This window comes from Homo sapiens, chromosome 11, assembly GCF_000001405.40.
Source record: "Homo sapiens chromosome 11, GRCh38.p14 Primary Assembly".
NCBI classification, from domain to species: Eukaryota; Metazoa; Chordata; class Mammalia; order Primates; family Hominidae; genus Homo; species Homo sapiens.
The window spans coordinates 7,840,029-7,854,164 of NC_000011.10; the positions used below are offsets into that span (position 1 = coordinate 7,840,029).

Genomic DNA, 14,136 nt, shown 5'->3' on the forward strand with positions numbered 1-14,136 from the left:
GCCAGAAGAGCAATGGGGAAAATGGTTCAATCCCAGAATGCTGTGGACAGCATACCACAGCATCCATCTTAGATGTAAAATGGTACCTCATTTCTCTGGTTCTTCCCAAGATAATGTAGCTTTTCATACGCTTATTGACCACTTTGTGGGTTGAATACCGAGGTTACACATTGCCTCATGAAATGATTAGCAAACTTTGTCTCTTTCTCTATTCTTGTAACTAATTATTAAAAGAGAAACACTAACTGTGCCTCAAATTTTTAGTAAAATCAGCTGGTTAACAGTGTGGGGTTTTCTTGGGGGGAGGGCGCTGACATAGTTTTGTGGGGGTTAATGAAACGGTTCTGATTCTAGGATTCTGAGCCACTCACTGCTCCAGCTGTAACAGATGCCTCTGTTGCTCACTGCTTTGCACTAGCAGGAACAGAAAGAATGTCTGTATCCCGTCACTGCTTCTATTAGAGCACAAACCACTGCACCAACCACATTTTAGGCAGTCCGTCCTGTTTCCCAAGGCTACCACCTTGCAGAAATCCTCTTACAGATACATTTTGGCTAAAGTTTCTTCTCAGGAAATTTTCTCCTGCTTTCATTTTTCAGGGATTCTTTTATAATTTTTGGTTCTCCAATGGTGCTTTAGCATTTGGAGGAACAGTAGAGAAAGGGGTAAATAGGTTTTGAGAACCAAACAAACAGGTCCTGACAAAATTACATTATGGAGCAACAAAGAAAAATAGAAATTGCAACGTTGCTTTATTTTCTATAGTTTTACTATGTAAACGTTTATTGCTGAATGCCCTAGCTTTGCCTGCTTTTAAACTTTATGTAGCTAGAATCATACATTTTTTTTCTTTTGACTTATTTAACATTGTTTGTGAGATTCATCCACTTTGTGCATATATAGTTTATTCACTTTCACTGTTATATAGTAGTCCATTGCATAACATTATGTATTTTTCTATTGTACTGATTATGTACATTTAGATTGTAGAGGTATCTTTAAATATCCTCCACTAAAATGGAAGATTTAAGATGATAGATTTATCTATGTCTCCTTACAGTTTTGTTAGTTTTTGCTTTATATATTTCAGAGCCATGTTATTAGATGTATACAAAGATAAATTGTATCTTCTTGCTGGGTTAACCCTTTTATGGTCACAAATGATTGCTTTTTTATCTGATAAACATTGTCAGAGCAGTTTTTTTTCAATGGAGTTATACGATTTTGTTTTACATTTATGTACAATTTATGTACAACTTTTTTACATTCAGGGGTTACGTGTACAAATTCGTAAATGGATATATTGAGTGATGCTGAAGTTTGAGCTTCTATTGAACCTATCACTCAAATAGTGAAGATGGTAAACAATAGGTAGATTTCAACCCTTGTCCCCCTCCCTCCTTCCATTTAGAGTCCCCAGTGCCTGTTAATTCTGTCTATGTGCGTGTGTACCCAATATTTAGCTCCTATTATACATGAATATGTGTTATTTGGTTTTCTGTTTCTTCATTAATTCACCTAGGATAATGGCCTCCATCTCCATCCTTGTTGCTGCAAAGAACATGATTTCATTCTTTTATGGCTGCATAGTATTCCATGGTGTATACATACCACATTTTCTTTACCCAATCCACTGTTGATGGGCACATAGGGATTGATTCCATGTCTTTGCTATTGTGAATAGTGCTGCAACAAACATTAGACCGCATGTATCTTTTTGGCAGAATGATTTATTTTCCCTTGAGTGTGTACCCACTAACGGGATTGCTGGGTAAATTGCTATCTTTAGTTCTTTGAGAAGTCTCCAAACTGGTTTCCACTGGAGCTGAATTAATTAATTTACATTCCCACCAATAGTGTATAAGCATTCCTTTCTCTCTGTGACCTTGCTAACATTTGCTAAAAAATATATATAAATATATATAATATATTTATAATAGCCATTTTGACTAGTTTGAGATAATATCTCATTGTGGTTTTGATTTGCGTTTCTCTAATGAATAGTGATGTTGAGCATTTTTTCATGTTTTCTGACAATTTATGTCTTCTTTTGAGAACGGTCTGTTCATGTCCTTTTCCAACTTTCTAATGGAGTTATTTGGTTTTTGCTTCATGATTTTTTAAAATTCCTTATAGACTCTGGATATTAGTCGTTTATCAGATACATAGCTCACAAATATTTCTCCCATTCTGTAGGTTATTTACCTTGTTGATAGTTTATTTGGCTGTGCAGAAGCTCTTTTGTTTAATTAGGTCCCAGTTGTCAATTTTGGGGTGTGCTGCATTTGCTTTTGAGGTCTTAGTCATAAATTCTTCACCAAGGCCAAAAGCCAGAAGAATATTTTGTAGGTTTTCTTGTAGGATTGTTATAGTTTGAGGTCTTACACTTAAGTCTTTACTCCACCTTAAGTTAATTTTTGTATGTGGTAAGAGGGTAGGGATTAAGGTTGATTCTTCTGCATATTGTTACCCAGTTTTCCAGCACCATTGATTAAATAGTCTGTCCTTTCCCCATTGTTCTTTATTTCTGAGTTCTCTATTTTGTTCCATTGGTCAATGTGTCTATTTTTGTACCAGTACCATGGGTTTTGGTTACTGTAGCCTTATAGTATGAGACACCATCTCACATCAGTGAGAATGGCTACTATTAAAAAGTTTTAAAAATATCAAATGCTGGTTAGGCTATAGAGAAAAGGTGATACTTATACACTGTTGATAGGAATGTAAATTAGTTCAGCCTCTGTGGAAAGCAGTTTGGAAATTTCTCAAAGAACTTAGAACTATCATTTTACCCAGCAATCCCATTACTGGATATATATATACCCAAAGGAAAATAAACCATTCTACCAAAACTACACATGTACTCATATGTTCATCACTGCACTATTCACAACAGCAAAGACATAGAACCAACTCAGCAAAGACACAGAACCAACTGGATAAAGAAAATATAGTACATATACACCATGGACTGTTATGCAGCCATTAAAAAAATAAAATCACATTAATTTGAGATGGATTAAAGACTTAAATGTTAGACCTAAAACCATAAAAACCCTAGAAGAAAACCTAGCCAATACCATTCAGGACATAGGCATGGGCAAGGACTTCATGACTAAAACACCAAAAGTAACGGCAACAAAAGCCAAAATAGACAAATGAGATCTAATTAAACTAAAGAGTTTCTACACAGAAAAAGAAACTACCATCAGAGTGAACAAGCAACCTACAGAATGGGAGAAAATTTTTGCAATCTACTCATCTGACTAATATCCAGACTCTACAAAGAACTTAAATAAATTTACAAGAAAAAAACAACCCCATCAAAAAGTGGGCAAAGGATATGAACAGACACTTCTCAAAAGAAGACATTAATGCAGCCAACAGACACATGAAAAAATGCTCATCATCACTGGCCATCAGAGAAATGCAAATCAAAACCACAATGAGATACCATCTCACACCAATTAGAATAGTGATCGTTAAAAAGTCAGGAAATAACAGGTGCTGGAGAGGATGTGGAGAAATAGCGCTTTTACACTGTTGGTGGGAGTGTAAATTAGTTCAACCATTGTGGAAGACAGTGTGGCAATTCCTCAAGGATCTAGAACTAGAAATACCATTTGACCCAGTGATCCCATTACTGGGTATATATCGAAAGGATTATAAATCATGCTACTATAAAGATACATATGTTTATTGCAGCACTATTCACAATAGCAAAGACTTGGAACCAATCCAAATGTCCATCAGTGATAGACTGGATTAAGAAAATGCAGCACATATACACCATGGAATACTATGCAGCCATAAAAAGGATGAGTTCATGTCCTTTGTAGGGACATGGATGAAGCTGGAAACCATCATTCTGAGCAAACTATCACAAGGACAGAAAACCAGACACTGCATGTTATCACTCATAGGTGGGAATTGAACAATGAGAACACTTGAACACAGGGCAGGGAACATCACACACTGGGGCCTGTTGTAGGGTAGGGGGCTGGGGGAGGGATAGCATTAGGAGAAATACCTAATGTAAATGCCAAGTTGATGGGTATAGCAAACCAACATGGCACATGTATACCTATGTAACAAACCTGCACATTGTGCACATGTACCCTAGAACTTAAAGTATAATAATAAAAAAGACACAAACACCCCAAATAAAGAGATTAATATTACTTTAAGAATAAAAAATAAATAAATAAAATAAAATCACATCCTTTGCAGCAACATGGGTGCAGCTGGAGGCCATTATCCTAAGCAAATTAACACAGAAACAGAAAACCAAATATCACATGTTCTCACTTATAAGTGGTAGCTAAGCATTGGGTACACATGGACATCAAGATGGGAGCAATAGACACTGAGGACTACTAAGGAGGATGAGAGAGAGTGAAGAAATAGCTGAAAAACTACCTATTCCTTACTATACTCACTACTTGGGTGATGGGATCACGTGTACCCCAAACCTCAAAATCAAACAATATAGCCATGTAGCAAACCTGCACATGTCCCCCACTTGGCCATGTCCATAAGTGTCTCTTTACCAAATCATCCTTGCAAGGGTAAACCATGCTGCTCATGTTCTCACACCTAGGCCTTATGGGTGGCCAAGGGATGGCCACTTGCAGGAGTGTAAACAGAGCTTATACATTCTTGCTTGGATGTCTGTGCAAGTGCAGTCATGTGGGCTAGCAACCAGTCCTCCTCACCAACACTGCCTTCCAGTCTGGAATTCCAAGGATCCCAAGAATTCTTCCTTCCAGATATTATAAAGGATAGTTGTTAAGGAGGTAGGATAAAATGTGTTTTAGTAATTTGTTATCTTGATTTTTAACTTTTAAATATTTAGGCATATTGTACGTGAGCCTTCATTTATTATTCTTGCCCTGGGCCCTGCCAATGCCAAAGGCAGGTTTGCTCCTAGGAAGCCTGCTTTCTAACCACACCAAATATTTGTAGTTATTTAACGCCTGGACTTCCTCAAACCTCAGTAACTTTGCACAGGCTATTCCCTCTGTCTAGAATGCCTGAGAATTTCCTTGTACTTATGAAGCATCCTTCAAGAGGATAAAAGGTAAAAATTACCACCACTGTTACTGTATATTAACATTGCTCTGGAAGTACTAACCAATACAAGTAGAGAAGAAAAAGGAACAAGAATACGTTAGAGAAATGAGAAACGAAACTCACATCCTTTCATATTGTATGATTATGCAGTTAAGAAACCCAAGAGAATCAACCAGAAAACTATTTTTAAATGATAGGAAACTATTGTAAGGAAGAGAGTTATAAAATTAATTTATAAAAATCAGTAGTTTTGCTATACACAAATAATACTTGAATAGACCACAAAAAACTCTTTTTAAGATTTAATTTACAATAGTAACAAAAAGATAAAATATCTGTGACTAGAATTTAAAGAAATACATAGGATGTATATCTGTAAAGTTTAGAGAAAACTCTAAAACTCTAGGAAATTATTTAATCAATAAAATAAATACCATAGTTACAGAAAAGAAGATTCAGTTGTAAAAATGTCAATTTTCCCTTAAATTGACAAATCAATTTAATGCAATAGCGTTCCAAGTACAAACAGGATTTTTTTGGAACTTGATAAAATAATGTTAGAATGCATCTGGAAAATGTACATGTGAGAATGGCCAGAAAAATTGCTACTAGATAGTAAAATGAATTATATAACTATTTAATTTAAATGTGTGGTCCTGGTTCTAGAAAAGACTACAAAAAAATCATAAATTGACCCAAGTACTTCAGGATGTTTTAGTATTAGCATAGGATAAGTCTGGAGTTTTAAATAAACAAAACCAGCAGGAAAACAATTTCACAAATAAGTTGCATTAGATCATCTGGCTAGCCATTTGAAGAAATAAGTAAAAATACAGTCATGCAGTGCATAATGACATTTCAATCAACAACAGACAGCTTACAATGGTGGTCCCATAATATTATAATACTGTATTTTACTGTACCTTCTCTTTGTTTAGATATGATTAGATACACAAATACCATTGTGTTACAATTGCCTACAATATTCAGTACAGTAATATGCTGTACAGGTTTGTAGCCCAGGAGCAATAAGCTATGCCATATAGCCTAGATGCATAGTAGGCTATACCATTTCGGTTTGTGCAAGTACACTCTATGATGTTTACACGATGACAGAATCACTGAACAATGCATTTCTCAGAATGTATTCCTGTCTTTATGTGATGCATAACTGTAGTTGATTGCCTCATTCCTTATATCGAAATTAAATTTCCAGGAAAATCAAAGTTTGTAATATAAAATTGAAATGAAGTAAGTCTCTGGACTAAAACAGGAGATAATTTTTTAAATAATTTTAAATCGAAGAAGTTTCATTTAACCATGTTGCAAAGATCAGAATTCAAAAGGAAAAGGATTGATAAATTTGAAATCAAACAATGCAAACCTCACTGCATAGCACACAAAGTAATTATCACACCAATGTTAAGGGACAACTGACAAACTGAAAAGTAATTTGCAATACATGCATCAGACAAAGAGCTGGTTTCCTTAATAAACGAAGACCTCCTAGAAATAAAATGTTCTAGAAAATCAATCAACCTAATAGAAAAATTCACAAAGGAACTGACAGTTCATAGGGAAAAAATATACATACAAATAATTGTTTGAAAAATGCTAAACCCTACTCATAAAAACACACAAAACTGCAGGAGCTACCAATGTCCACTATCACAGTGGCAAAGGCTTAAAACTTAATAAAACTTTGGATAAAAGTATGGGAAAATCAGTGTTCTTGCACAATCTCGTTAGAAGCGAGTTTGACTCGGTGAAATTTACTTGGAGGTCAATTTGTCAATCACGATCAAAAAAGTAAAGTGAATATATACATTTTGACCCAAACTTCACTTCTAGTGGTTTATCTTTTTCTTTTTTTTTCTTTTGAGATGGAGTCTCGCTGTGTCACCAGGCTGGAGTGCAGTGGCACCTTCTCAGCTCACTGCAACCTCTGTCTCCTGGGTTCAAGAGATTCTCAGGCTTGAGCCTCCCGAGTAGCTGGGATTACAGTGGGATTACAGGCACGTGTCACCGCACCCAGCTAATTTTTTTTTTTTTAGTAGAGATGGGGTTTCACCATGTTGGCCAGGATGGTCTCGATCTCCTGACCTCATGATCCGCCCACCTCAGCCTCTCAAAGTACTGGGATTACAGGTTTGAGCCACCATGCCTGACCTAGTGGTTTATCTTTAATCCACACACATGCTTAGACATATGAGCGCAAGCTTTATTTGAGATAGAAAAAAAAAAACAAAATTGTAAACATTTAAATATCCATTAAGAGAGAACTTATTAATAAATTATGATACAGTTATGAAAATGTCATGGATTTCTATGAACTACTTTGGAAATACGTCTTTAACTTTTATTTTAAGTTCAGGGGTAACTGTGCAGGATGTGCAGGTTTGTTACATAGGTAATGTGTGTCATAGGGGGTTGTTGTACAGATTATTTCATCACCCAGGTATTAAGCCTAGTATTCATTAGTTACTTTTCCTGATCTTCTCCCTCCTCCCACCCTCCACCCTCCAATAAGCCCCAATGTGTGTTGTTCCCCTCTATGTATCCATGTGTTCTTATCATGGAAATATTTCTTAAGTGTAAGAAGAGAAAAGGTACAAAACTGTATGATTTCATTTATGTAGAAAAGTATGTGTGTGTGTGTTTTGTGTGTATTGATACTTGTTTATACCTAAGCATTCTTAGAAGAATACTAAAGGAACTGTTAACATTGGATACCATTAATTATATTGGAGGTAGAGGAGAGAAACTGTTTTTTCATTTATATCCCTTTCTCCTATTGATAATTTCACCAAGTGGATATATTACATTTATAATTTTAAATATCCAGCCTAAAATTTAGGACAATTCAGTGTTGCCTAAGACTGCTGATCCTCCACCCCCACACACGGTTGAGTTAGGAGATTCCTCTCTTTCAGAGCATTACCCACAGTGAATTGTAACTAGTTACTTACATGTATGTTTCTCCTACCAGCCTGTGCATTCATTGAAGGCAGACATACGTTTTATTCATGTTTGGGTCACCTTCACTTAGCATAGCATCTGGCACATTGAAGAGGGGCAATATGTGTTTGATAAGTGAATGAGAATGAATGAATGAAGCTTTTCCATTTCCACCATCCACATTCAATCTCTCCCTCCTGTGAACTCCTACAGCACTCTGCAGCTCCAAAAATACTTGGCTCACTTCCCCTTAGGAATGTTTTACGAACCCTCCACTAGACTCCATAAGAACAAAGACAATGTCATTGTCATACCCATCTCCAGCCCAGCACCAAGCATGCTATCTGGCCCCACACAAAGCCCAGAAGTATCTGTTGAGTTGAACTGAAAACACCAACACTGTTAACATAAAAATAGGTTCTGTCCTAGGAAAATCGTTCTCCTGGTTCCAAAAAGAAATGAGTTCAGTCTTGCCAAGTCTGTTTTAGCAGAATAAAGTCCCATAGCTAATGACAGCCTTTAACTATTGGAAATGTAAAGCCACATTTTTTTTTTCGTATGGTAATGCAACAAAGAGGTAAGAAGCGTTTGTTTTTAAGTATCTAATCATTTCTTATTTTTTGCAGCAGGCGAGAGAACATGACAAAAGGCAATCGTACCACAGTGACCGAATTTGTCCTCATGGGATTCACAGACCGTCCTGAGCTGCAGCTCCCCCTCTTTGTGGTGTTCCTTGTCATTTATCTCATCACCCTGGTGGGAAACCTTGGCATGATCCTGCTGATCAGAGCAGACTCGCGGCTCCACACCCCCATGTACTACTTCCTCAGTCACCTGGCATTCATTGATCTGTGTTACTCATCTTCTATTGGGCCCAAGATGCTGCAAAATGTATTGGTGAAGAAAAAAACCATCTCCTTTTCAGGCTGTTTTGCTCAGCTGTACTTCTCCGGTGCTTTTGCCACTACAGAATGATTCCTCTTGGCCACAATGCCCTACGACCGCTACGTGGCCATCTGCAACCCCCTGATTTACACAGCTATTATGACGCAGCGGGTCTGCAGGGAGTTAGTGATAGGGGTCTATACCTATGGCTTCCGAAACTCTGTGATACAGACAGCTCTGACGTTTCAGCTGTCTTTCTGCAACTCCGACGTCATCCACCACTTCTACTGTGCTGACCCCCCTCTCCTGGCCCTCTCCTGCTCTGACACCCACAACAAAGAAAAGCAGCTCATGATCTTCTCTGCAGTAAATCTCACTGGGTCCCTCCTTACCATCTTCATCTCCTACATTTGCATCCTCTTTTCCATTATAAAAATCCAGTCTTCCGAGGGCAAGTGCAGAGCATTTTCCACCCGTGCCTCCCACCTCACTGTCGTCACCATCTTTTATGGCACACTATTTTTCATGTACCTGCAGCAACCAAAAGCGGGGAATTCATGGAAGCCAAACAAAGTAGTCTCTGTGTTTTATAGTCTTGTAATTCCCATGCTTAACCCTCTTATCTATCGCCTGAGAAACACAGAAGTAAAGGATGCCCTGAAAAAAATGCTAGAGGGCAAAGAGTTATAGTGAGTGAGTTAATGGAACGCAGCATACTGAAAGTTTGATATATTGACAAGGTAATGTCTCTAATTAAGTTTACATTTAGCAGGCCAACTGCTGTCCAATCAGGAAGCAAACAGTAATCCAATTTGGGAATTTTAATGACCAAAGTACTGGGTCACTTATTTAACATAGTAATGTTTAATCCAATTATCGTGAACTATCAAAATTGACTTACAAGCTAGAATGTCAATAACTGTGTCCTTCATGTGCTGAAGAAGAAATGGCTTACTACCAATTAAATAATAATATAAGCTCTATATTAAAAAAGATCCTGAAAAGCAACATTCTGGGTGAAACTATAATTTAACAAAGCTGGGTACAAAACCCACACATGAAAATCGATGTTATAAGAAACACTTTTCAGTTTACAACAGGCTGTATTGTAGAGAGTAATTTGTTAGTCTTAGAACATATTTCTTCATAACACTTTGCTACAGACGGTGATTAAGTTTCAAGACCAGCTTACAAAAACCTTATTTAATCCAAATGTAATTGAAATACTGCATGCTTTAAATAAACAATAGAAAATATAGTATTGCAGCAACAGTGGGGGGAGAAAAGAACAACAAAAAAAAAACCACTGGGATTCAATTAGATGGGGGGGTTGTTTAGAAAAGAAAGTTTAATTAAAAGAGATAAAGAGAAGGTTTAGGAAACTTTTAGAGATGTTAAAAATAGTCATTTTTTCAACAGCCAGGGTTCAATTTTTCTAGTCTCTGGAAAGTGGAGCCATAGTGAGTTTTTTGGGAGGGGGTGAGGGGTGAGTAGGGAGAAAAAGGAATGGAAAGAGGGAGCATTTGGGGAAGTAATCAGGCCTGGGTATATGTGAATGTTTCTAAGAAACAAAATTATTGTCTTAATTAATTTGAATGATCTAGAGAAATACTTTAGTTTTGCAACATTTTCCATGTTCTTTATTTTTGTTTTCACAGATCCAGCATTCCAATTTCTTGGAAATAAGGCTATATGAATTCTTGGTGTTTTGGGGGATAGGTGAAAGAAAAATCTCTAATTTTTTTTCATTTAGGCAAAAATATGAGCACTCTTTGTTTTGGGGTTTTTTTGTTTGTTTGCTTTTTGTTTTTTTGAGATGGAGTCTCACTCTGTCACCCAGCCTGCAGTGCAGTGGCACAATCTTGGCTCACTGCAACCTCTGCCTCCCGGGTTCAAGTGATCTTCCTCAGCCTCCTGAGTAGCTGGGACTACAGGCGTGCGCCACCACGCCCGGCTAATTTTTGTACTTTTAGTAGAGACAGGGTTTCACCATATTGGGCAGGCTGGTCTCGAACTCCTGACCTCGTGATCCATCCACCTCGGCCTCCCAAAGTGCTGGGATTACAGGTGTGAGCCACTGCGCCCAGCCAAGCACTCTACCGTTTTTCTAAGCCTCGATTCTAATACTTCTTTCAAAATAATTCTTAAGGCAAACAAATCTGCCATAAAAATGTTTATTTTCCTCCTATTTTCAAAAGTGATTACTGTTAAGTAATTTTTAATGGTTTGTAACATATACTACCAATTAATTACAAGTAAGTTTAAAATTAATCAAAAAAACTAAGAGGTCCCTGTTGTCCCCAAATTAACTCTGCAGATAATAATATGGGATCTTTGTTTTACTGTTGCTTATAATCAGATAATTTAGAAAAATAAAAAGTTAAATATTTACAACTTCTCCTACTTAGTTCAGAAAGCCTTTCCAGATAGTTGAGGTATAAGTTGTATCGCTAAGCATTTGAAGATGGAGTGTTGGCTATGGTTGAAAAGGAAGACACTAGCAGGATAAAGGAACAGAGGGAAGAAAAGCAGGAATTGAGCCAGAGAGGGAGGAGCGGTTGCACAGGTAATGAGCAACAGGGGAACAGGCAAAGTGGAGAGGATAATGCTGAGGGATTATAGGAGCCTGGGTATTAGACCAGGAGCTCCCCCTTGAGACCAAGCAAATTATCTTCTTCACTTTGTACCCCAGCACCTTCTGCAGTTCCTGGCATAAAATAGATGCACAATAACTGTTTGCTGAACTGAATTGAACTCGTTTGTGTTTATTCCTAACTCTCATGGGTGGGTAGACATGGTGCCCAGCAATGGTCCTGCGGTTTGGAAGTGACAGAGAAAAGGAAGCCAGTGGGGTTATGACTGGAAGACTGTTTTTCAATATTCTCATAATGAAACTAACATCCATGAGGTGGGAAGACATACAAAGGCAACAGCGCAACCTGACCAGAGAAAGAGAAGTTGGTACATTGGGAAGATGGCACGAGCTGGAGCTGTCGACAGACCATAACAATCAACGAACAACTGCTGCGGAACAAAGGTTGCTACTAACTGAGATAAAGATGAACACGGACCAACATTTAGATGGAAAATTGTGCTTTCAATCATAAGCCATGTCTATTTCTTAAACTTATTTCTCAAACTCTCTATGTCAGTTTAATTTAGAAAGTGAAAAATAACCATGCACTAGATATCACGTTTCAATACATGCCTCTCAGCAAATGAATTCTATTCATGTTTTCAAAGGAATATTCGGTCTAAAAGTTTCATCAGTTTTCAGTTCTTTTCAAGGAAACCTGAATAAAATGTTACAAGACCTCCCCATAATACCTTCCCAGCTGTTGAATTTGTACACTTGGCTCAACACGCCTCCTTGATTACTCTGTAAAACAAAGCATAAAATTGAGAATATTGTATTCATAGATTGCAAAGAATATAAATCTACATTTTACTAAATTTCCCAGAAACTCGAAAAGCAAATAGGCATGAGAAAAGGTCAGAATCAGCTAATTTTTGAGCTAATAATTCCTATTTTCTTTTCCCATTGAGACTCAGCCTTATACATTTATCTCCCTGACTCTGGCCTTATGAAGTAAGAAAGGTCTCAGGTGAAAAATTCTCAAATTAATTATTTGCGTTAAAAAATAGAGTGCTGTATATATGTATAGTATTAATATGATAATATATAATCCACAAGAGAAACAAATATAATTATACACCTTTGTTTCCTTATAAAGTGAGGCTGTTTCAGTCAATACGCAGAATAATTACACTAATCATTCAGCCCAAAGTAAATATCTTCTGAATATGTAAATGTCACCAAAATAATGGCAGATTTATCAGAATTTAAGACTGCAACATTTTGCTGAAAGTGAAAATAAACTCTTCTCACATGTAAATAAACAGCGTATTTGTCTTCCTTTGTTAATAATCCTAAAACTGAATGTTATTTGCCAGCATTCGCCACTTAGACTTTTCATTAACAAATATGATATGTATCTGAAATACTCATTTGGACATAAAATGCTGAATTTTTCAACTGGTATAGATTTCAACTTCTTATTTCTCTTCATTTTATACTCTATTGATTTGTCATGCTTGGAAACATGCCAAATGAATTGTTTTATTATTCCAATCAAAATAAGGAACCATGAGAGGGAACCATATTATTCTTTTCCATTTTCTTTCATATTATTTGATGTATTAGAATTTCAGAAATGTAAGCATTTTAAAAATCTCAAATATGTGCCCCCAAATTTTCAACTCTGCCCTGGATGTATCATTCTAGCATTCTTTGGTGAACAAGATTGAATAGAAAAGTGCTGATTCAGTGCTCAAGAGTGGCTCCACCTGCAACTAAGTGGTGCATCCACCAGCAATAAAGAGGCCACTGATGTCAGAACTTCAGGAGTTTAGGCTCCTGGGAAAGTGACAGATTTAGCCTACTCTTCCTAGCCAGCTTGCTCCAAAAATATAAACCTTTTATAAATAACTGGAACTTCCATGTCCGGTAAGACAGGAAAAACTAGAGAAGGGAAAAGATCATCTTTAATTTTTAAAAACTAAGTAAGTATCTCTTAGGCCTTGGCAGAAACTATCCTAATAGAGACAGTTTCCAGAAGGTCTTATTCTGTGGCCTAAAACAAAAATGTTTTATTCCCTCAAGCTTCCTTTTTTTTTTTTTTTGCCAATAACTTAATAGTTTGTTAGTCAATAATATTACAAATATTTTAAAATTATTTAATATAAATAGTTGGCAGCAAACCATTCCATTACAGAGTTAAATTACCAGTACAACAGACAGACTGGAGATTTAGACACCTGGAAGATAACAATAAAATAAGCTAAAATATTTAGCAAAAAATTTAAACTGAAGGCGTTTACCTAGTGTCCATAAAAGCACAAGCTTACTTTCTTTGCTTGGGCGTGTTGGCCACTCAGGCACCTGGACACCTACGAACCTGCAGCTTCTGCTCCTCATTGAAAGGCAGTCTTGTTTGCCAGCCACGTTGGATGTGGCATGAGGAGAAGGACAGTCAATGAGCCAGCCAGGCTCCAGCACTCTCCTGCCCACCTCTGCCTCACCCTCAGCTGGGGATGCTACGTGACTACAGCTTTCTCATATTTAGGCAAGAGTACAGAGAGCTCTCAGGTCCATCTCTGGGTTTCTCCTAAAAGCTTTTTATTTCATTGTTATTGTCTTTCCTCTTTAGAAAGAGCCA

The 14,136-nt window shown here is 37.0% G+C and overlaps 1 long non-coding RNA gene and 1 pseudogene across 2 annotated transcripts in view; one reads left to right on the forward strand and one right to left on the reverse strand.

Moving 5' to 3' along the window:
- Positions 1–9,022: 9,022 nt before the first annotated feature.
- Positions 9,023–9,543, forward strand: OR5E1P (olfactory receptor family 5 subfamily E member 1 pseudogene; annotated as a pseudogene). Its single transcript, NR_027711.1, has one exon. The product of NR_027711.1 is annotated as an olfactory receptor family 5 subfamily E member 1 pseudogene (transcript).
- Positions 9,544–10,722: 1,179 nt separating this feature from the next.
- Positions 10,723–14,136, reverse strand: part of LOC283299 (uncharacterized) — a 55,205-nt gene continuing 51,791 nt past the window's right edge. Inside the window, exon 8 of the long non-coding RNA NR_036678.1 lies at positions 10,723–12,296. This is a non-coding gene — a long non-coding RNA (uncharacterized LOC283299). The remainder of the gene's footprint in view (positions 12,297–14,136) is intronic.